General features: G+C 35.6%; 1 pseudogene, besides 1 other annotated feature; it reads left to right on the top strand.

The window, feature by feature from the left end:
* RN7SL191P (RNA, 7SL, cytoplasmic 191, pseudogene) lies at nucleotides 12783–13084 on the top strand (annotated as a pseudogene).
* Nucleotides 18286–18786: an enhancer, noted in NCBI's record as "NANOG-H3K4me1 hESC enhancer chrX:130262358-130262858 (GRCh37/hg19 assembly coordinates)". NCBI's record gives its function as "activates a minimal SCP1, AML or CMV promoter by ChIP-STARR-seq in primed H9 embryonic stem cells {active_cell/tissue: H9 hESC(primed)}" and the evidence as "EXISTENCE:reporter gene assay evidence [ECO:0000049][PMID:30033119]".

Genomic DNA, 25990 nt, shown 5'->3' with positions numbered 1-25990 from the left:
AGAATAAGTACTAATCAAATCTGTGCTTTAGAAAGATTATTTTACAAATTGTGGGAAAAGGATTCAGGCAGTGCAAGGTAAGAGATGAGATGGTCATTGAGAGGACAACTGGCATTCTCAATATGAGAGACTCCTGGGCACTTTTTAAAGCTGAAGAGAAAGAGAGGCAGTGAAGAGAGAGACATTCAAAATCTGAACTGAGTGAGCTCTGGGAAAGCAGGGACAGGTACCGTTTCATTCTCAATTGTCAATCACAGTACCTTGGACAGTGCCTGGAACATAGGAGGTGGGTAATAAAGCTGCCAGGAGGGCTCCACTATGAAGACAGATGTGATGCCAGTGGTCTTCTAAGGGGGTATAGAGGACAGTTGTAAAAGACAGGGCGGGAAGATAGTGTGGCAAGATATGCATGGCATTGGGTCAGTGATGACTTGTAAGGATTGGTCAGAGACACGTGACCTTTAAGTGTTATCCATGGGCCAGGAATGCTCCCAACCTGAAGTAGTGTTGTGATTTTCACAGAGGGTAAAGATGCTAAATTTACAAACCAATATCTCCGCTCACCACCCGCCTCCACACACACACACAAACACACACGTAAACCACAACCCTCTTATGAGGTAAGGAATGTTTTTCCCTAAGGAATGCCAAGTTGCAGAAAGACAATTAATAGATGCAATTCAAAAGATTTTCATTCTATCCAGGGAAAAATAATCAAACATAACTAATGAACAGCAGTAAGAATAGCAATTTTAAGAGGACTTTATTTTTATGGGATAAAAAAGAAACAGATGGATCACATAGCATTCCCAAAAATATATTGTGTAAAGTTACTGAGGGTGCTCAGATACTCTGGGCTAAAACAACACTGAACAGATTAAGGAGTTGGTCCTTGGATCCCATAGCTATATCAAGCTATTAAGGGGTTGTTGAAATCATTTGGGAGACATCTTTAACCTTCCAAGATGATGTTAGGACTAACCGAATCCCCTCCTGCCCTTTATAAACTGTCCTACATTGCACAGCTGGTGTCTGAAGTTGGTCTTATAAGTCGTTTTATGGACTGTGTTTAAAATACATCATTCAGCAGAACATTAACAAATATGCCATGAAAAAGGAGGTTCTCTGATTAAATAAGTGTGTAAAATGCTAGGCTATATAGAGTGAAACTGTATGCTTTATTGCAGTATGTTTCAAAACCTTTAACATCATAAATGGGGATATAATTATCCAAGGAGATAAAATTTGCAGCTTCCCCAGTTATTTAACCTGGTCTGACAAGTGTTCCACAGACTGCCATTTGGAAAACATTGTCCTAAAGCACTGTCTCTAGAAGGCGTCTGTTAAAATACAAATATGATAATTGGGAGAAATATACTATATTAAATTATATATTAACTATTATACCCATTTTCATATTTGAGGGCAACATGTTCCCAGAAGGATAGAGCATCAGAAATATCCATTGCCCTTGGGGAGCTCATAGTCTATTGGTGAGACAGGAGAGAACGAAATCTACAGCACTATGGTAAGGACTTATATAATGGTACCTTGAATGAGGATGGTGGCAGTGAAAATAAAATGAAATGGACAGATTTGGGATATATTTTAGAGGAAGATCAATAGGACTTGGTGATGGATTCGGGGATGTAGGATGACAAAAAGGAGAAAGTTTTAAAATGACCGTAAGGTGTTTGATTTTGCAACTGCATGAATAGTGATGCCACTCACTATGACACAGAATGGAAAAGGGGAATGGGTTTTGGGAAGACAACGAGTCTAGCCTGTGAGATTTCTAAGGAAAGTTATTCTCAGGATCATCCTATGTGGCTGTTATTAGTCTCTCTGCTCTGCTACATCGTACAGTGAAGAAGCAGTTCTCATGAGGTATGTCACATTAAAGATTCTGTCTAAATCATTTATCCTCTCACTTATTCCTACAGTAGCTTAATTGATTAACTGAAATACCAGACATAGCCTACAGCACTCAGAACTTCACAGACAGAACACAGCTATTCACAAAATAAGGTTATTTCTGATCAAATATAGGAGATGATCAGATTAATAAATTAAGATTGTTAACATTTATAAGATTTTTAACATGAAAGAGTGAAAATATAACAAATTGTATATAGTTTTTTTATTGCTATTTACTCAGTCAGCCAACATTTATTATGTGTCTAGTATCTGCCAAGTTCAATACTGATTTTAAAGATGAAACAGAGTTCTTGATGTTGAATTGTTCTTAAAGACGAAACAGAGTTCTTGATGTTGAATTGTTCAGCGTCTGGGTGTGTGGGTCAGTGACACAGACATATAAAAGCAAGTAAAATAAATTTTTAGGCGGTCTGTAATAGAAGACCATATTGTACATAGTAAGGGAACAATGGCGGAAACATTCGATTCTAGTGGAGGGTGGGCAGAGAACTTGACACTTGAACTCATTCTTACAAAATGGAAAAGATGTTCTCTAAGTGGACAGAGGGGTGAGATGAAATACAAGAGGACACTCCATGAAAAAAATAACCTTGTTGCAAAAGTTAGATGTTTGAAATGCATCTTGCAGGTAATAGGAAGCAATTTAAGTATGTTAAGCAGAGAAATAATGAGTTAGATTTATGATTTATAAAGATAACCCTGGCAGTTGCATGGAGGGCAAATTAAAGAGAACAAGACTGAAGGCAGGAAGGTCAATTAGAAGTTATTGAAAGGGTTCAAACAGGGGATGATGGAGCAATATCAGTGAGGATAGAGAACAGATGGATCAGAGAGATGTCAACAAGGTAGAATCTAAAGACTTTGTGACTTTCTTTTAAAAGTTTTTATTTTTCTATTATTTCAATAGTTTTGGAAGAACAAGTGGTTTATGGTTACATGGAGAAGTTCTTTAGTGATGTTTCTGAGATTTTGGTGCACCCATCACTCGAGCAGTGTACACTGTACCCAATGTGTAGTCTTTTATCCCGCCTCCAACTCCCACCGTTCCATCCGAGTCCCCAGAATCCATTATATCATTCTTCCTCTTCTTCTTCTTTTTTTTTTTTTCTGAGATGGAATCTCGCTCTGTCACCCAGGCTGGAATGCAATGGCACAATCTCTGCTTACTGCAACCTCTGCCTCCCAGGTTCAAGCGATTCTCCTGCCTCAGCCTCACCAGTAGCTGGGACTACAGGCACGTGACTACACGCAGCTAATTTTTGTATGTTTTGCAGAGAAGGGGTTTCACCATGTTGGCTAGGCCAGTCTCGAATTCCTGACCTCAAATGATCTACCCTCCTTGGCTTCCCAAAGTACTGGGAATACAAGCAGAAGCCACCGTGCCCGGCCTCCATTACATCATTCTTATGCCTTTGCATCCTCATAGCTTAGCTCCCACTTATAAGTGAGAACATACGATGTTTGGTTTTCCATTCCTGAGTTACTTCACTTAGAATAATGGTCTCCAACTCCATCCAGGTTGCTGCAAATGCCATTATTTTATTCCTTTATATGGCTAAGTAGTATTCTATGGTATATACATATAGCACATTTTCTTTGTTTTCTTCAACTTTTATTTTAAGTTCCACTGTACATGTGCAGGATGTGCAGGTTTGTTACATAGGTAAACATGTGCCATGATGGTTTGCCTCACAGATAAACCCATCAACTAGGCACATTTTCTTTATCTACTTATTGGTTCACAGGAATTTAGGCTGGTTCCATATTTTTGCAATTGCAAATTGTGCTGCTATAAACATGGATGAACAAGTGTCTTTTTCACATAAGGACTTTTTTCCTCTGGGTAGATACCCAGTAGTGGGATTGCTGGATCAAATGGTAGTTCTACTTTTCATTCTTTAAGGAATCTCCATACTATTTTCCATAGTGGTTGTACTAGCTTACATTCCCACCAGCAGTGTAAAAGTTTTCCCTTTTCATCACATTCACACCAACGTCTATTATTTTTTGATTTTTTAAAATTTTAGCCAGTCTTGCAGGAATAAGGTGGTATCACCTTGTGGGTGTGATTTGCATTTCCCTGATAATTAGTGATATTGAGCATTTTTTATCATGGGGTTTTTGGCCATTTAAATATCTTCTTTTGAGAATTGTCTATCTCCTTACCCCAGTTTTTGATGAGACAATTTGTTTTATTCTTGTTGATTTGTTTGAGATCCTTGTAGATTCTGGATATTAGTCCTTTGGTGGATGCACAGTTTGCGAATATTTTCTCCCACTCTGTGGGTTGTCTGTTTACTCTGCTGATTGTTTCTTTTGCTGTGCAGAAGCTTTTTAGTTTAATTAAGTCCCATGTATTTATCTTTGTTTTTATTGCATTTGCTTTTGAGTTCTTTGTCATGAACTCTTTGCCTAAACCAATGTCTAGAAGAGTTTTTCTGATGTTATATTCTAGAATATTTATGGTTTCGGGTCTTAGGTTTAAGTTTTTGATCTATCACGAGTTAATTTTTGTATAAAGTAGGAGATGAGGATCCAATTTCATTCTTCTACATGAGGCTTGCCAATTATCCCAGAACCATTTGTTGAATAGGGTGCCCTTTTCCCAATTTACGTTTTTGTTTGCTTTGTCAAAGATCAATTGGCTGTAAGTATTTGGCTTTATTTCTGGGTCCTCTATTTTGTTCCATTGGTCTACATGCCTGTTTTATACCAGTACCATGCTGTTTTGGTAAATATAGCCTTGTAGTATAGTTTGAAGTCAGGTAACGTGTTGCCTCCAGATTTGTTATTTTTGTTTAGTCTTGCTTTGGCCATGCGGGCTCTTTTTTGGTTCCATATGAATTTCAAGATTGTTTTTCTACTTCTGTGAAGAATGATGACGGTATTTTGATGGAAATTACATTGAATTTATAGATTGCTTTTGGCAGTATGGTCATTTTCACAATATTGATTCTACCCATCCATGAACATGGGATGTGTTTCCACTTGTTTATGCCACCTATGATTTCTTTCAGCAGTGTTTTGTAGTTTTCCTTGTAGAGGTCTTTCACCTCCTTGGTTAGGTATATTCCTAGGTATTTTACTTTTTTGCAGCTGTTGTAAAAGAGGTTGAGTTCTTAATTTGATTCTCAGCTTGGTCACTGTTGGTGTATAGCAGTGCTACTGATTTGTGTACAGTTATTTTCATCCTGAAACTTTACCAATGCAGAAAAAGCATTTGACAAAATCCAGCATCCCTTTATGATTAAAACCCTCTGCAAAATCAGCATAGAAGGGACATACCTTAAGGTAAGAAAAGCCATCTATAACAAACTCACAGCCAACATTATACTGAATGGGGAAAAGTTGAAAGCATTCTCCCTGAGAACTGCAACAAGACAAGCATGCCCACCTTAACCACTTCTATTCAGTGTAGTACTGGAAGTCCTAGCCAGAGCAATCAGACAAGAGAAAGAAACAAAGGGCATCCAAATCGGTAAAGAGGAAGTCAAACTGTTGCTGTTTGCTGATGATATGATCGTACACCTAGAAAACCCTAAAGACTAACCCAAAAAGCTCCTAGTTCTGATAAATGAATGTGGTAAAGGACTTCGTGACTTTCTGGATGTGCTATGAGACATCAGGAATGGACTCTAATGATAATACTCTCATTTTGTTCTTTATGAGCAACTTAATCAATGACAATTCTATTGGTAAGATGGAAAAATAAGGATAATTTAGGGGAAAGATGATGATTTTAGTTTTAACATAAATGTGAAGTGTCTGAGACATATGTAAATATTTAGTGAACACTTAAATATATGAGCCTTAATTGAAGTGAAAGATCTGCATTTGAAATCTATTTGGGAGCTGACACTGTATATATGGTATTTGATTCCAGGGAATGTAGGGACTTCTACTTCCTAGTTGTATGGACAAGCGCTCCATCCAAAAATACTAGAGAAAGAAATCAATAAAACACTTACACACACAAAAAAAGAGTAAGGGCAAGGAATTTTGATGAACATGATGAAACGTGACCTAATTATAACGCATACAGCACTACACGCAACAATAGCAGGACTCATTTTCTTTTAAAGTATGTGGGGAGCATTTAACAAAATTGATCACATGCTTGGCAACAAAGAAAGCCTTGACAAGTTTATAAAGATTGAAATCATTCAGAGTATCGTCTTGATTCAGTGGATGTAATCTAGAAACCAACAACAAAATAATAAATACAAAATTCTAAATTTCCTGTGAATTATACAATGTACTATGAAATAGTCAATGGATCAAGGAAGATATCACAAGTAAAAGTAGAAAACATTTCGAAGTAGAATATAATGAATATATTGCAATTTCTGATATGCAGCTTTAGTAGATATTAGAAGAAATTTTATAAGTGTGAAATCTCATCTATAGAACTGAAGAAAGACTAGAACTAAATCAATACAGAACTAAATCAATAATTTGGACTTTTACATTTCAAGAAGTTAGAAAACAACAGTAAAATTTAACCTTAGAATACTGTGAGGAAAGAATAATATATAGGAAATCTGAATGGTCCAATTTTCATAAAGAAACGGCATTGTGATGGTAATTTCTATATGTCCACTTTATCTAGGCTATAGTCTCCAACTATTCAATCAAACACAAATCTGGGTATTGATGTGAATGTATTACATATATGTGATTAACATGTATAATCAGCTGACTTTAAGTAAAGGAGAATAACTTAGACACATAGATAGATAGGTAGATAGATCTCCCTCCCTTCCCCTTCTCTCTCTCTATATCTATCTATCTATCTATCTATATATATATAGAGAGAGAGAGAGAGAGAAAGTATACATACAGTGTATATGTGTGTGTATATGGTATATATATTTCTCTGGTGGAACCCTGACTGATACAGACACTATTAACAAATCAAATAAATCAAATGCCTAGAAATTTATCTGATAACAGGCATGAAAAAAATTTATGCTGAAACTTATCACATTTCGAGAAAAAAAGACATAAATAAATGGAGAGAGAGACTATATTATGGATCATACGACTAAATATTGCTAAGATGTAAAATCTCAAAACAAAGAGATGTAAAATCTTCTTTAATTAATATAGATTCAACAGAGTCGCAGTGAAAATCCCAGTATGTTTTTGGATAATTTACTAGGTGATTCTACAATTTATAAGAAAATGCAAAGGGTCAAGAATAATGGGTATTTCATAGAAAAGGACCAAACAAGAGGAATTTACTACCAGATAAAAATCCCTATTATAAAGGAATAGTAATTGAGAGGGCATAGTATTGGCAAAAGGATAATCAAACTAATTAATGGAACAAAATCTAGAGTCCAGAATTAAACCCACACATATACTGTCATCTGATTTATAACAAGAAAACACTGCAGTACTTTGGAGAAATAATGGTTCGTTCAGTATAGTTCTGAGTCAAGTGAATATATCTATGGAAAAAAAATCAACCCTGGATGAACTTCCAGAATGGCTGCTTAAGTGCACAGTGGACATTCTCCCCAGCAAAACAACCATTTTACTGCTGCAAATTATTTTTTGAAAAAACATTTAAAGTATTTGGAAATTGTCCTAAGAGCCTAAAGCAAATAGAAAAACATCTAATCAAGAAAATTATCTAACTCTCTGTAAGAGCAATGAGAATCCGTGACACTTGAGCCTTGGCATGTTTATATCCCCATCACTACCAGCTCACTGTGATGGAAATTCTACTCCAGGCATCTGCAATTAAGAAGATGGGCTCCCTCTCTACCTAGCTCCCAATCTAGGGTTACAGTTGTACCCTATGTGAGGCAGGCCACCAGCATCAGTCATCACCCCAAGTTCCATATTGCAGAAGTTCTATTCTGGGCAGTTACAGCAGGCCAGTCTTCCTTCCCCCGACTCAATGCCTACTTATGGGGTGGAAGTTTTACTTCAGTCAGAGCAGGCATAGTATACTCTGCCCTGAACACACCTGACCTAGGTCTCTAGAAGGGTAGAGGTTGCACATTTCAAGTAGAAAAGACCAGGGACTACCTTCAAAACCCGATCACTGCTCCTAGAGCTGGGGTGTCACTCTAGGAGAAGCATGCTGCTATCCTTACCCCAGGCTCCCTTGCAATAGCACAGAAATTCTGCCCAAGGGAAAAGGCAAGACATAAAATAGCAGAACTCTACAGCTCAGACTAAGGGAACTGGCTTTATTTTTTAAAGTGTGTAAGGAAATTCAAACTTAAGGTATTGTTGAAAACAATTTTGGTGGTGACAAGTTAAGAGAAGGCTGGTAGCTCAATGATACTTCTTGGGGAGATGAGCTAGAAGTACATATTTGTAAATTTACCATTTTTAATTCTGTTATAGATTTCCAATTTCATTCCATTTTGGTCATAGATTATATTTTGTATGGCTTCAGTAATTTTAAATTTATAGAGACATGTTTTACAGGCTAGCAAGGCTAGCATATGGTCTATGCTGGAGAAAGTTTCATGTGCGCTACAGAAAAATGAGCATTGGCTATTACTGGGTGGAATGTTGCACAGATTTGTCTTAGGTCTAATTGGTCTGTCCGTTATTGAAAGTGAGATATTGAAGTCTCCCATGATTATTGGTGAATTTTCTATTTGTCTCTTCATCTGTTTTTGTTTCATTTATTTTTAGGAATATATATATATACATTCCATATATATATATTTTCCATATATACATATATATTCCATATATTTTTTATATATACATATATATTCCATATATTTTTTCAATATATACTCCATATATGTATATTTTTTCCATATATATTCCATATATATATTCCATATACATGTATTCCATATATATATTCCATATACATGTATTCCATATATATATTCCATATCTATATTCCATAAATATATTCCATATATCTATATAGTCCATCTCTATATATTCCATATATATCTATATTCCATCTCTATATATTCCATCTCTATATATTCCATATATATCTATATTCCATCTCTATATATTCCATATATATCTATATTCCATCTCTATATATTCCATATATATCTATATTCCATCTCTATATATTCCATATATATCTATATTCCATCTCTATATATTCCATATATATCTATATTCCATCTCTATATATTCCATATATATCTATATTCCATCTCTATATATTCCATATATATCTATATTCCATCTCTATATATTCCATATATATCTATATTCCATCTCTATATATTCCATATATCTCTATATTCCATCTCTATATATTCCATATCTCTATATTCCATCTCTATATATTCCATATATATATTCCGTATCTATATTCCGTATATATATTCCGTATATGTATATTCCATATATATATTCCGTGTATGTATGTATTCCATATAGATAAATTCCGTGTATGTATGCATTCCGTATACATATATTCCGTGTATGTATGTATTCCGTATAGATATATTCCGTGTATATATGTATTCCGTACAGATATATTCCGTGTATGTATGTATTCCGTACAGATATATTCCGTGTATGTATGTATTCCGTACAGATATATTGCGTGTATGTATGTATTCCGTACAGATATATTTCGTGTATATATACAGTCCGTATATATATATATTCCGTGTATATATACAGTCCGTGTATATATATATTCCATGTATATATATAGTCCGTGTATATATATATTCCGTGTATATATATAGTCCGTAGATATATATATATTCCGTGTATATATATAGTCCGTACATATATATATATTCCGTGTATATATATAGTCCGTACATATATATATATTCCGTGTATATACATAGTCCGTACATATATATATTCTGTCTAAATATAGTCCGTACATATATATATTCCGTGTCTATATATAGTCCGCACATATATATATTCCGTGTCTATATATAGTCTGCACATATATATATTCCGTGTCTATATATAGTCCGTACATATATATATTCCGTGTATATATATATTCCGTGTATATATATATTCCGTGTATATATATATTTCGCGTATATGTTCCGTATATACATATATTCCGCGTATATGTTCCGTATATACATATATTCCGCGTATATATGTTCCGTATCTACATATATTCCACGTACATATGTTCCATATATACATATAGTACGCGTATATATGTTCCGTATATACATATAGTCCGCGTATATATGTAACGTATATACATATAGTCCGCGTATATATGTTCCGCATATACATATAGTCCGCGTATATATAAATTCCATATATATAGTCCGTGTATATATAAATTCCGCATATATATATACTCCGCGTATATATAAATTCTGTATATATATATAGTCCGCGTTTATATAAATTTGGTATATATATATTCCGTATACATATATATTCCGTATATATATATTCCGTATACACATATATATTCCGTATACATATATATATTCGGTATATATATTCCGTATACATATATATATTCCCTATATATATTCCGTACACATATACATATATTCTGTATATATATATTCCGTATACATATACATATATTCCGTATATATATTCCGTATACATATACATATATATTCCGTATATATATTCCGTATATATATTCCCTCTATATATATTCCATCTATATATTCCCTCTATATATTCCATCTATATTCCCTCTATATATATTCCATCTATCTATTCCCTCTATATATATTCCATCTATATATTCCATCTATGTATATTCCATCTATATATTCCATTTCTATATATTCCATCTCTATATTCCATCTCTATATATTCCATCTATATATATTCCATCTATATATATTCCATCTATATATTCCATCTGTACATAGTCCATCTATATAGTCCATCTATATATTCCATCTATATATAGACCATCTATATATTCCGTATATATATATTCCATCTATATATTCCGTATATATATTCCAACTATATAGTCCGTATATATATATTCCATATATATATTCCATATATATATTCCATATATATATTCCATATATATATTCCATATATATATTCCATATATATATTCCATATATATATTCCATATATATATTCCATATATATATTCCTAAATATATTCGTAAATATATTCTAAATGTATCCTAAATATTTCCTAAATACATTCCTAAATATATTCCTAAAATATATATATATATATATTCCTAAAAATAAATGGAACAAAAATAGATGAAGAGACAAACAGAAAATTCACCAGTAATCATGGGAGACCTCAATATCTCACTTTCAATAACAGACAGACCAATTAGACCTAAGACAAATCTGTGCAGCATTCTACCCAGCAATAGCCAATGCCCATTGTTCTCTAGCGCAGATGAAACTTTCTCCAGCATAGACCATATGCTAGCCTTGCTAGCCTATAAAACATGTCTCTATAAATATATAAAATATGTATATATTATATATAAAATCAATATATAAAATAATATCTATATATTATATATAAAATAAATATATAAAATATTATCTATATATTATATATAAACATATAAAATAATATCTATATATTATATGTAAAATAAATATATAAAATAATTATCTATAAATATATAAAAATGTTATATCTTCCTGAGGAGTTGACCATTTTATTATTATATAATATTCCTCCTTATCTCTGGTGACACTTTTTTGTATTAAATTCTGTTTAAATTCTGATATTAGAATGGGCACGGTGGCTGACGCCTATAATCCCAGCATGTTGGCAGGCCGAGGAAGAAGGATAACTTGAGGCCAGTAGTTTGAGAGAAGCCTAGGCAACATAGTGAGAACTTATCTTTCCAAATTTTAAAAATTAGCCTGGCATGGTGGCACATGCCTGTAGTCCCAGCTACTTGGGGGGCTGAGGCAGTAGAATCCCTTGAGCCCAAGAGTTTGAGGCCACAGAGAGCTGCAATTACACCACTGCATTCCAGCGTGGGTGACAAAGGGACATCCTGTCATAAGAACAAATTTATTTATTATTCCGATATTAGTATCACCACTCCAGGTATTTTATGGTTGATATTTGTAAGTATGTTATTTTCTATCCTTTTACTTCAACCTATATGTATCATTGAATCTAAATTACATCTCTTATAGATAGGATATGGTTGGATTTGTTGGTGTTTTCTTTTCTAGGTTAATGAACAGAATAGAAAACTCTGAAATGGACCCACACAAATATGCTCAGCTGATTTTTGACAAAGATGTGAAGACAATTCAATAAAGCAAGTATAGTCCTTCTAACAAATAGTGTTGGAGCAATTGGAATTACAAACATGTGTGCACGCATGCACACACACACACAGAGACAACTTCAACTGAAAATTCAAACCTCACACCTTATGTAAAATTTAAATCAAACATTAACTTAAATTTAAAACATAAACCTATAAGACGTCTATAAAAATCATAGGAGAAAACTGCAAGATCTAGGGCTAGGGAATTAATTCTTAGAGTTAACACCAAAAGCATAATGCATAAAATAATAAATTAACAAACTGGACATCATCAAAATTAAAAATTCTCTTTTGCAAAAGCCCAGGTGAAGAACATGAAAATAAGGCATAGATTTGAAGGAAGTATTTGCAAACCAGCTATCTGACAAAGAACTAATATCTATAACATACAAAAACTTTGAAAACTCAACATTTAAAAAATCCAATGAGAAAACCAGCAGAGGACATGAGCAGACATTTCACTGAGGAGAATATACAGATGGTAAATAAGCACATTAAAAGCTATTCAACATCATTAGCCATCGGTGAAATGTAAGTTAAAACTACAGTGAGATATCACTGCACATCTATCAGAATGGCAAAAATAAAAATATAGTGACAACTGGACGTGATGGCACACACCTGTAGACCCAGCTACTCAGGAGCCTGAGGCAGGAGGATTGCTTGAGCCCAGGAGTTCTGGGCTGAGGTGCCCTATGCTGATTGGTTGTCTGCACTAAGTTCAGTATTCAGCTTCAACATGGGGACCTCCCAGGAGAAGGAAACCACCAGGTTGCCTAAGGAGAGGAATAACCTGCCCAGATTGGAAACAGCAGATCAAAACTCTCATGCTGATAAGTAGTGGGATCATACTTGTGAATAGCCACTGCACTCCAGCCTGGGCAACATAGCGAGATTCCATCCCTAAAAAAATAAAATTATATGTATATAACAATGAGAACACTTGGACACAGGAAGGGGAACATCACACACCAGGGCCTGTTGTGAGGTGGGGGGAGGGGGAAGGGATAGCATTAGGAGATATACCTAATGTAAATGACCAGTTAATGGGTGCAGCACACCAACATGGCACATGTATATATATGTAATAAACCTGCATGTTGTGCACATGTACCCTAGAACTTAAAGTATAATAAAAATATATATATTAAAAAGAAAAAAATTAGATGTATATATAATTATACATAATATTATATGTATATATATTAAGAGACAGAAGATTATATGTATATATAATTATACATAAGTTACATACATATATAATTATATATTAAATTATGTATAATATTACATATAGTGACGAATATGGTTTGGCTGTGTTCCCACCTAAATCTCATCTTGAGTTGTAGCTCCCACAATTCCCACGTGTTGTGTGAGGACCCAGTGGGAGGTAATTGAATCATGGGGGAGGGTTTTTCCCTGTGCTGTTCTCGTGATAGTGGATAAGTCTTAGGAGATCTGATGGTTTTAAAAAGGGAAGTTCCCCTGCACATGCCCTCTTGCCTGCCACCATGTAAGTTGTGACTTTGCTCCTCCTCACTTTCTGCCATGATTGTGAGGCCTCTCCAGCCACGTGGAGCAGTGAATCCATTAAACCTCTTTTTCTTTATAAATTACCCAGTCTCTTGTATGTCTTTATTAGCAGTGTGAGAACAGACTAATACAGTGACAACATAAAATTCTAGTGAGGACGTGAATTAATTGGATCACTTATACACTGCTGGTGAAAATGTAAAATTGTATAGCCTCTATAAGTTTGCTAGTGCTGCTGTAATAAAGTACCACAAAATGGGTGGCTTAAACAAAAGAAAATTTTTGTCTCACAGTTCTGTATGCTAGAAGTCCAAAATCAAGATGTCAGTAGGATTAGTCCCTTCTGAGGTCTGTGAGGGAAGAATCCGTTCCATGCCCCTCTCCTTGGCTTGTAGATGGTCATCTTCTCCCTGTGTCTCTTTACATCATCTTCCTTCAATGCATGTCTCTGTATCCAAATTTCCCCTTTTGATAAGGACACTGGTCATATTGGATTAGAGCTCACCCTAATGACCTTATTTAACTTGATTTCCTCTGTAAAGATCTTATCTCCAAGTAAGGTCACATTCTGAGTTATGAGGGGTGAGGACTTTAACATATAAATTTTGGGAGAACACAGTTCAACCCCAGTCACTCTGGGAAACAGTTTGGCAGGTGCTTATAAAACTAAACATGCAACTATACAACCCAGCAATCGCACTTCCTGGCATTTAACTCAGAGAAATGAAAACATATGTTCACCCCAAATCCAGTACATAACATTCGTAGCAGCTTTATTCATAATAGTCAAACACCGGAAACAACCCAGGTGTTCTTCAACAGGTGAATAGTAAAACTGCGGTACAATATACTCAGCAATAAAAAGGCACAGACTATTGATACATACAACTTGTCAATCCCATAAGATTACATACCTATGATTCCACTTATAAAACATTTTGGGGCCAGGTACAGTGGTTCATGTGTGTAATCCCTGCTCTTTGGGAGGTCAAGGCAGGGGGATGGCTTGAGGTCAGGAGTTCAAGACCACCCTGGGCAAAATAGGGAGACCCTGTCTCTACAAAAAAATTTAAGATCCCAGACATTGTGGCGTGTGCCTGTGGACCCAGCTACTAGGAGAGCTGAGGTGGGAAGATTGCTTGAGCCACTTTACTCCAGCCTGGGCGACAGAGTGAGACTCTGTCTCAAAATAAATAAATAAATAAATAAATACATAACAAAATATTTTTTAATGAAGAACAGACTAGTGGTTGTTAAGGGTTAGGGATGAGAGAAATAGCAGGAGGGAGGCAGCTGTAGCTATAATAGAAGGTACCCTTGTGATGAAATTGTTATTTATCTTGACTGGTAGTGGATACAGAAACCTAAAAGCATGATAAAATTTTATAGAACTAAGTACACACATACACAAGTGAGTGCAAGTAATACTGGGGAAACCTGAGTAAGATAAGTGAATTGTATCAATGTCAGTCTTAATTTGCCATATTAACAGAACAAAATGAGAAAAAGAATGCATAATAGGTGGAGAAAAACTATTCGACAAAATTCAAAATCTATTCATTATAAAAGCTCTCAGAAAACTAGTAGGTATAGTCATGTGCCTTGTAACAATGTTTTGGTCAACAACAAGCCACATACCTATCTATGCTAGTGACCCCATAAGATAATAATGGAGCTGAAAAATTCTATAGCACAATACATTACTCATTTGTTCATGGTGATGGTGGTGTAACTAAACTCACTGCACTGCAGGTCATATAAAAGTCTAGCACATTCAATTATGTACAATACCTAATATTTGATAATGATAATAAATGACTATATTACTGGCTTATGAATTTACTATAATTTTTATCACTATTTTAGAGTGTATTTCTTCTATTTATATTTTTTTAAAAAGTTAACTGTAAAGTATCCTCAGGCAGGTCCTTCAGGAGGTATTCCAGAAGAAGGCATTTTTATCATAGGAAATGACAGCTCCATGTGTTATTGTCCCTGAAGACCTTCCAGTGGGACAAAATGTGGAGGGGGAAGACAGCAATATGGATGATCCTGACCCTGTGTAAGCCTAGGCTTATGTGTGTGTTTGTGTCTTAATTTTTAACAGATGTTTAAATATTTAAAAATAAAAATAGTAAGAACATTATATAATAAGGATATAAAATATGTTTGTACAGCTATACCATGTGTTTGTGTTTTAAGTTGTGTTACTACAAAAGAGTCAAAAAGTTAAAAATTATTATGTGACAGTAAGCTAAGGTTAATTTATTATTGAATGAAAATATTCTTTTATAAAGTTGCTGCAGCCTAAGTATACAGTGCTTATAAAGTCTACAGTAGTGTACATTAATGACATAGGCTTTAACATTCACCACTCACTGACTCACTCAGAGCAACTTCCAGTCCTGCAAGCTCCATTCATGGCAAGTGCCCTATACGTGAGTACTATTTTCAAATATTTTATACTGTATTTTTACTATACCTTTTCTATGCTTAGATATGTTTAGATACACAAGTACTTACATTGTGTTACAATTGCCTGTAGTATTCAGTACAGTAATATGATGTACAGTTTTGTAGCCTCAGAGCAGTAGATAATGGAGCTGAAAAACACCGTAGAGCTTAGGTGTATAGTAGGCTATATCATTTAGGTTTGTGTAAGTACACTCTATGATGTTCACACAATGACAAAAATCACGTAACGACACATTTCTCAGAATGTATCCCCGTCAAGAATGTACCCCTGTCATTAAACAATGTATGCAGGAACTTACTCAATGTGATAAAGGGCGTCTACCAAAAACCTACAGTTAACATGACGTTAATGGTGATATCTTCATTGCCTTCTTAACTAAGTGTGAGAAAAGCAATGAAATCAATTCTCATCACTTACATTCAACATTGTACTGGAGGTCCAAACCGGTTCAATAACACAAAAAAAAGTAGAAATCTGAAAGATTGGAGAAAAAATAGTAAAACTGTCATTATTCATAGATGAGATAATTGTATGTACAGAAAATCCTGTGGAATCTACAAAGAAAGCTACAACAACAAAAACAACAAAAAACCCTAGAACTACTAATTGAATTTATAAGGGAGTAGGGTATAAAATGAATAAATGAAAATTAATCACATTTATATATATAGGCCATAAAACAATTTTTTCCAAAAATTAGAAAAGGGAATCAAAAATGCCATGTACAATGAGATTTTTAAATCATGAAATGCTTAGGAATAGGTTTAATTTAAAAAATGCAATATCTTTACACTTAAAAATTACAACACATTGGTGAAAGAAATTAAAGACAATTAAAATAAATGGGAAAAAATTGCCATTGATTATATGTCTCAATATTAAGATTTTAATTCTTTCCAAATTGATCTAAAGATATAATATAATTACAATCAAAATCCCATCAGGTTTTGTTGAAGAGAGTGATAAGCTGATTTAAAATTTATATGGAAAAGTAAAGACACTAAAATAGCCAAAAAAGACTTTTATAAAGAAACAAAGTTGAAGGATTCAACCTACCAGATTTCAAGTCTTACCATAAAGTTGCAGAAAATAAGACAGTATGGTATAGGCCTAAGAATGAACAAGTGTATTAACAAAACAGAATAGAAAGCACATAAATAGACCCGCATATACAAAAGCAACTCATTTTCCAAAATAGCACAAAGGGAACTCAATGCAGAAAAGAAAGATTTCAACAAATGATGCCAGAAATCTACATAGAAAAAAAATGAGCCATAACCCCTATATCGCACCAAAAAACTTGATTCAAGATGGAGCACAGAACTAAATATGGAAAACTAGGACTACAAAGTTTATGGAAGAAAGCACAGAAAAAGAACTTCATAAACATTGAGTAGGAAAAAATTATACAGAGAAGAGACAAAAAAAGAGTAAAATAACATTTCTAAAATGACACATTGGACTTAATCAAAATAAAAATATTTCTGCTTGTTAAAAGACACAGATGGGAAAAAGACAATAAAATGTAATGTCTATTCTAGCTGTGAGGAGTAAACTGCAGAAGTCTAGTACCCTCACCATAAAAAACTAGAAAACTAGATGAAACATATGAAGCAACTTTTCAGATATAAGACAACAGTCAGTGATGAACTGTCATATCACAGGAAGAATCTAGTGAGATGATTCTTAAAGAAGGGTTAAGCAAGACTCCAAAGACTAGTAAAAATACATCAAGCAGGGGGGAGGAGCCCAGATGGCCGAATAGGAAGAGCTCCAGTCTACAGCTCCCAGCGTGAGCCATGCAGAAGATGGGTGATTTCTGCATTTCCATCTGAGGTACCGGGTTCATCTCAATAGGGGGTGCCAGACAGTGGGCGCAGGTCAGTGGGTGCGTGCACCCTGTGCGAGCCGAAGCAGGGCGAGGCATTGCCTCACTCGGGAAGTGCAAGGGGTCAGGGAGTTCCCTTTCCTAGTCAAAGAAAGAGGTGACAGACGGCACCTGGAAAATCGGGTAACTCCCACCTGAATACGCTTTTCCGACGGGCTTAAAAACCGGCGCACCATGAGATTATATCCCACACCTGGCTCGGAGGGGCCTACGCCCACGGAGTCTCACTGATTGCTAGCACAGCAGTCTGAGATCAAACTGCAAGGCGGCAGCGAGGCTGGGGGAGGGGCGCCCGACATTGCCCAGGCTTGATTAGGTAAACAAAGCAGCTGGGAAGCTCGAACTGGGTGGGGCCCACCACAGCTCAAGGAGGCCTGCCTGCCTCTGTAGGCTCCACCTCTGGGGGCAGGGCACAGACAAACAAAAAGACAGCAGTAACCTCTGCAGACTTAAATGTCCCTGTCTGACAGCTTTGAAGAGAGCAGTGGTTCTCCCAGCACGCAGCTGGAGATCTGAGAACGGGCAGACTGCCTCCTCAAGTGGGTCCCTGACCCCTGACCCCCGAGGAGCCTAACTGGGAGGCACCCCCCAGCAGCGGCAGACTGACACCTCACAAGGCCGGGTACTCCAACAGACCTGCAGCTGAGGGTCCTGTCTGTTAGAAGGAAAACTAACAAACGGAAAGGACATCCACACCAAAAACCCATCTGTACATCACCATCATCAAAGACCAAAAGTAGATAAAACCACTAAGATGGGGAAAAAACAGAAACTCTAGAAAAACTGGAAACTCTAAAAAGCAGAGCACCTCTCCTCCTCCAAAGGAACGCAGTTCCTCACCAGCAACAGAACAAAGCTGGACGGAGAATGACTTTGACGAGCTGAGAGAAGAAGGCTTCAGACGATCAAATTACTCCGAGCTACGGGAGGACATTCAAACCAAAGGCAAAGAAGTTGAAAACTTTGAAAAAAATTTAGAAGAATGTACAACTAGAATAACCAATAGAGAGAAGTGCTTAAAGGAGCTGATGGAGCTGAAAACCAAGGCTCAAGAACTACGTGAAGAATGCAGAAGCCTCAGGAGCCGATGCGATCAACTGGAAGAAAGGGTATCAGCGATGGAAGATGAAATGAATGAAATGAAGCGAGAAGGGAAGTTTAGAGAAAAAAGAATAAAAAGAAACGAGCGAAGCCTCCAAGAAATATGGGACTATGTGAAAAGACCAAATCTACGTCTGATTGGTGTACCTGAAAGTGACGGGGAGAATGGAACCAAGTTGGAAAACACTCTGCAGGATATTATCCAGGAGAACTTCCCCAATCTAGCAAGGCAGGCCAACGGTCAGATTCAGGAAATACAGAGAACGCAACAAAGATCCTCCTTGAGAAGAGCAACTCCAAGACACATAATTGTCAGATTCACCAAAGTTGAAATGAAAGAAAAAATGTTAAGGGCAGCCGGAGGGAAAGGTCGGGTTACCCTCAAAGGGAAGCCCATCAGACTAACAGCAGATCTCTCGGCAGAAACCCTACAAGCCAGAAGAGAGTGGGGGCCAATATTCAACATTCTTAAAGAAAAGAATTTTCAACCCAGAATTTCCTATCCAGCCAAACTAAGCTTCATAAGTGAAGGAGAAATAAAATACTTTACAGACAAGCAAATGCTGAGAGATTTTGTCACCACCAGGCCTGCCCTAAAAGAGCTCCTGAAGGAAGCACTAAACATGGAAAGGAACAACCGGTACCAGCCGCGGCAAAATCATGCCAAAATGTAAAGACCATCGAGACTAGGAAGAAACTGCATCAACTAACGAGCAAAATAACCAACTAACATCATCATGACAGGATCAAATTCACACATAACAATATTAACTTTAAATGTAAATGGACTAAATGCTCCAATTAAAAGACACAGACTGGCAAATTGGATAAAGAGTCAAGACCCATCAGTGCGCTATATTCAGGAAACCCATCTCACGTGCAGAGACACACATAGGCTCAAAATAAAAGGATGGAGGAAGATCTACCAAGCAAATGGAAAACAAAAAAAGGCAGGGGTTGCAATCCTAGTCTCTGATAAAACAGACTTTCAACCAACAAAGATCAAAAGAGACAAAGAAGGCCATTACATAATGGTAAAGGGATCAATTCAACAAGAAGAGCTAACTATCCTAAATATATATGCACCCAATACAGGAGCACCCAGATTCATAAAGCAAGTCCTGAGTGACCTACAAAGAGACTTAGACTCCCACACATTAATAATGGGAGACTTTAACACTCCACTGTCAACATTAGACAGATCAACGAGACAGAAAGTCAATAAGGATACCCAGGAATTGAACTCAGCTCTGCACCAAGCGGACCTAATAGACATCTAGAGAACTCTCCACCTCAAATCAACAGAATATACATTTTTTTCAGCACCACACCACACCTATTCCAAAATTGACCACATACTGGGAAGTAAAGCTCTCCTCAGCAAATGTAAAAGAACAGAAATTATAATAAACTATCTCTCAGACCACAGTACAATCAAACTAGAACTCAGGATTAAGAATCTCACTCAAAACCGCTCAAATACATGGAAACTGAACAACCTGCTCCTGAATGACTACTGGGTACATAACGAAATGAAGGCAGAAATAAAGATGTTCTTTGAAACCAATGAGAACAAAGACACAACATACCAGAATCTCTGGGACACATTCAAAGCAGTGTGTAGAGGGAAATTTATAGCACTAAATGCCCACAAGAGAAAGCAGGAAAGATCCAAAATTGACACCCTAACATCACAATTAAAAGAACTAGAAAAGCAAGAGCAAACACATTCAAAAGCTAGCAGAATGCAAGAAATAACTAAAATCAGAGCAGAACTGAAGGAAATAGAGACACAGAAAACCCTTCAAAAAATTAATGAATCCAGGAGCTGGTTTTATGAAAGGATCAACAAAATTGATAAACCTCTGGTGAGACTAATAAAGAAAAAAAGAGAGAAGAATCAAATAGACGCAATAAAAAATGATAAAGGGGATATCACCAGCGATCCCACAGAAACACAAACTACCATCAGAGAATACTACAAACACCTCTATGCAAATAAACTAGAAAATCTAGAAGAAATGGATAAATTCCTCGACACATACACTCTCCCAAGACTAAACCAGGAAGAAGTTGAATCTCTGAATAGACCAATAACAGGATCTGAAATTGTGGCAATAATCAATAGCTTACCAACCAAAAAGAGTCCAGGACCAGATGGATTCACAGCCGAATTCTACCAGAGGTACAAGGAGGAACTGGTACCATTCCTTCTGAAACTATTCCAATCAATAGAAAAAGAGGGAATCCTCCCTAACTCATTTTATGAGGCCAGCATCATTCTGATACCAAAGCCGGGCAGAGACACAACCAAAAAAGAGAATTTTAGACCAATATCCTTGATGAACATTGATGCAAAAATCCTCAATAAAATACTGGCAAACCGAATCCAGCAGCACATCAAAAAGCTTATCCACCATGATCAAGTGGGCTTCATCCCTGGGATGCAAGGCTGGTTCAATATACACAAATCAATAAATGTAATCCAGCATATAAACAGAGCCAAAGACAAAAACCACATGATTATCTCAATAGATGCAGAAAAAGCCTTTGACAAAATTCAACAACCCTTCATGCTAAAAACTCTCAATAAATTAGGTATTGATGGGACATATTCCAAAATAATAAGAGCTATCTATGACAAACCCACAGCCAATATCATACTGAATGGGCAAAAACTGGAAGCATTCCCTTTGCAAACTGGCACAAGACAGGGATGCCCTCTCTCACCACTCCTATTCAACATAGTGTTGGAAGTTCTGGCCAGGGCAATTAGGCAGGAGAAGGAAATAAAGGGTATTCAATTAGGAAAAGAGGAAGTCAAATTGTCCCTGTTTGCAGATGACATGACTGTATATCTAGAAAACCCCATTGTCTCAGCCCAAAATCTCCTTAAGCTGATAAGCAACTTCAGCAAAGTCTCAGGATACAAAATCAATGTACAAAAATCACAAGCATTCTTATACACCAACAACAGACAAACAGAGAGCCAAATCATGAGTGAACTCCCATTCACAATTGCTTCAAAGAGAATAAAATACCTAGGAATCCAACTTACAAGGGATGTGAAGGACCTCTTCAAGGAGAACTACAAACCACTGCTCAAGGAAATAAAAGAGGATACAAATGGAAGAACATTCCATGCTCATGGGTAGGCAGAATCAATATCGTGAAAATGGCCATACTGCCCAAGGTAATTTACAGATTCAATGCCATCCCCATCAAGCTACCAATGACTTTCTTCACAGAATTGGAAAAAACTACTTTAAAGTTCATATGGAACCAAAAAAGAGCCCACATTGCCAAATCAATCCTAAGCCAAAAGAACAAAGCTGGAGGCATCACGCTACCTGACTTCAAACTATACTACAAGGCTACAGTAACCAAAACAGCATGGTACTTGTACCAAAACAGAGATATAGATCAATGGAACAGAACAGAGCCCTCAGAAATAATGCCACATATCTACAACTATCTGATCTTTGACAAACCTGAGAAAAACAAGCAATGGGGAAAGGATTCCCTATTTAATAAATGGTGCTGGGAAAACTGGCTAGCCATATGTAGAAAGCTGAAACTGGATCCCTTCCTTACACCTTATACAAAAATCAATTCAAGATGGATTAAAGACTTAAATGTTAGACCTAAAACCATGAAAACCCTAGAGAAAAACCTAGGCTTTACCATTGAGGACATAGGCATGGGCAAGGACTTCATGTCCAAAACACCAAAAGCAATGGCAACAAAAGCCAAAATTGACAAATGGGATCTAGTTAAACTAAAGAGTTTCTGCACAGCAAAAGAAACCACCATCAGAGTGAACAGGCAACCTACAAAATGGGAGAAAATTTTTGCAACCTACTCATCTGACAAAGGGCTAATATCCAGAATCTACAATGAACTCAAACAAATTTACAAGAAAAAAACAAACAACCCCATCAAAAAGTGGGCAAAGGACATGAACAGACACTTCTCAAAAGAAGACATTTATGCAGCCAAAACACACATGAAAAAATGCTCACCATCACTGGCCATCAGAGAAATGCAAATCAAAACCACAATGAGATACCGTCTCACACCAGTTAGCATGGCAATCATTAAAAAGTCAGGAAACAACAGGTGTGGAGAGGATGTGGAGAAATAGGAACACTTTTACACTGTTGGTGGGACTGTAACCTAGTTCAACCATTGTGGAAGTCAGTGTGGCGATTCCTCAGGGATCTAGAACTAGAAATACCATTTGACCCAGCCATCCCATTACTGGGTATATACCCAAAGGACTATAAAGCATGCTGCTACAAACACACATGCACATGTGTGTTTATTGTGGCATTATTCACAATAGCAAAGACTTGGAACCAACCCAAATGTCCAACAATGATAGACTGGATTAAGAAAATGTGGCACATATACACCATGGAATACTATGCAGCCATAAAAAATGATGAGTTCATGTCCTTTGTAGGGACATGGATGAAATTGGAAATCATCATTCTCAGTAAACTATCGCAAGGACAAAAATCCAAACACCGCGTGTTCTCACTCATAGGTGGGAATTGAACAATGAGAACACATGGACACAGGAAGGGGAACATCACACTCTGGGGACTGTGGTGGGGTGGGGGGAGGGGGGAGGGATAGCATTGGGAGATATACCTAATGCTAGATGACGAGTTAGTGGGTGCAGCGCACCAGCATGGCACATGTATACATATGTATCTAACCTGCACATTGTGTACATGTACCCTAAAACTTAAAGTATAATAAAAAAAAATCAAGCAATACCCTATGTGAAATTTGAGCCCCCAAAAGGGAGGGTGGGGCAGGAAAATATTTGAATGAATAATTACACAAAGTATTCCAAATCTGTTCAAAATATAAACTCATCAAAACTCAATGAACACAAAGAAAGGAAGAGGAAAAAATAAAGAAAACCAAATCATATGTAACAAACCTGCATGTTGTGCACATGTACCCTAAAACTTAAAGTATAATAATAATTAAAAATAAATAAATAAAAAGAAAACCAAATCAAAATAAATAATAATTAAATTACCGATAAGTAAGATAAAAAGAAAATTTTAAATTCAGCCACAGAAAAAGATAATATATCCATGACGGAAAAGAAAGAGAAATGGCTTTTAAAATATAATTAAAAACTGTGGAAGCCAGAAATGGAAGAAAGTACTGAAAGAAAATAACACTCTCAAAGCAGAATTCATTATCCAGTTAAAATATAATTGAACGATAAAGACAAAATAAAAATTTTCACACAAAATAAATGTCTGTATTACAGGAAACAATAAATGAAGTTTTTTAGACTGAAAGAAAGTAAAACCAATGTTAAATGAAAATCTACATAAAGAAATGAAGGGCACTGGAAATGGTAAATATGTGATATACATAAAAAACTTTTCTCCTGTTTGTTTTTTATAAAGATAATTGCCTGTTTAACTCAGTATTAATAATACCATCTTGTAAAGTTTATTGCATGTGTAGAAATAAATTATATGACAGTAATTCAAAGGATGGAGTGGATAATGGTTGTACATTGTTCTAGGATCTTTACATCTTATATAGAATGGTAGAAAATTATTTGAAGTAGACTGTAATAAATTAAGGATGAATATTGTAAATCATGGATGACGACATAAAAATATTTTTAAAAGTTATAGCCATTAAGTCAATAGTGGTGCAACTTCAATACTAAGAGATATTCAATTCATCTAAAAGAAGGCTGAAAACAAGAAAAAGGAAAACAAAATAAGGGAAAAGAGAAAACAAAGAGAGGGAGGCTATACTTAAAGTCAACCATATTAATAATTACATTCAATAACAGTAGACCTAACACATAAATTAAAAGCCAGATATTATCAGGTTTAGCAAAAATTACAACCCAATTATAATACTGTCAGCAAAAATTATCTTTCAAATTTGAAGACATAAATTAAAAGTAAAAAGATGAAAGAAAACATCATCACAAATAAGCATAAGAACTCTGGAGTGGCTCTATTAATGTCAGAAAATGTAGACATGATTAAAACAGTAAAACAAAGGATAAAGAGTGGTTAAATGGTGTGTGCCTAGTGGCACAATTTCAAAATACATGAAGTAATAGTTAAAGAACTAAAGAGAAGAATGAAGAAATCCAAAGCACATTCAGAGATTTCAACATTACTCTCAGTAATTGATAGAACAAGTAGACAGAAATCAGTAATGTTGTGGAAGATTTGAAAAACACTATCAGCCAGCTTATTGTAATGGATATTCAGAGAATACTATACCCTAGAACTGTAAAATATATATTTCAAATGCACATGAAACATTTCCAAATATAGACTATATGCTAAGCAATATTTAAAAGGCCTCAATAAATTTGTAAGTACCAAAATTATACACGGTATGTTATCTAATGATGGAATTAAATTGGAAACCAATTACACAGCGGTATCTAGAAAATTTCTGAATATTTGGAAAATAACACACTACTAAGTATTTCATAAGTCAAAAAAGAAATCACAAGGAAAACTAGAAAAAGTTTTGAAGTGGATGATGATAAAAAGACAACATATCAAAATTTGTGGGCTATAACTTAAACAGATCTTAGAAAGAAATGTATTGCTTTAAATGATTAAATTGAAAATAAATGTTTAGAATTGATTATTCTGGCTTCTAACTTAAAAGGCTAAAAGAAAAAAGAGCAATTTAAGCCCAAAGTGAGTATAAAGAAGTAAACAATAAAAATAAGACTGGAAATCAATGAAAGAGGACACGAACAACAAATAAAAATCAACAACATCAAAAAGGAACTAC

The sequence above is a fragment of the Homo sapiens genome, chromosome X, assembly GCF_000001405.40.
Source record: "Homo sapiens chromosome X, GRCh38.p14 Primary Assembly".
Classification (NCBI taxonomy): Eukaryota; Metazoa; Chordata; class Mammalia; order Primates; family Hominidae; genus Homo; species Homo sapiens.
This window is presented reverse-complemented; position numbering and strand designations above follow the sequence as displayed.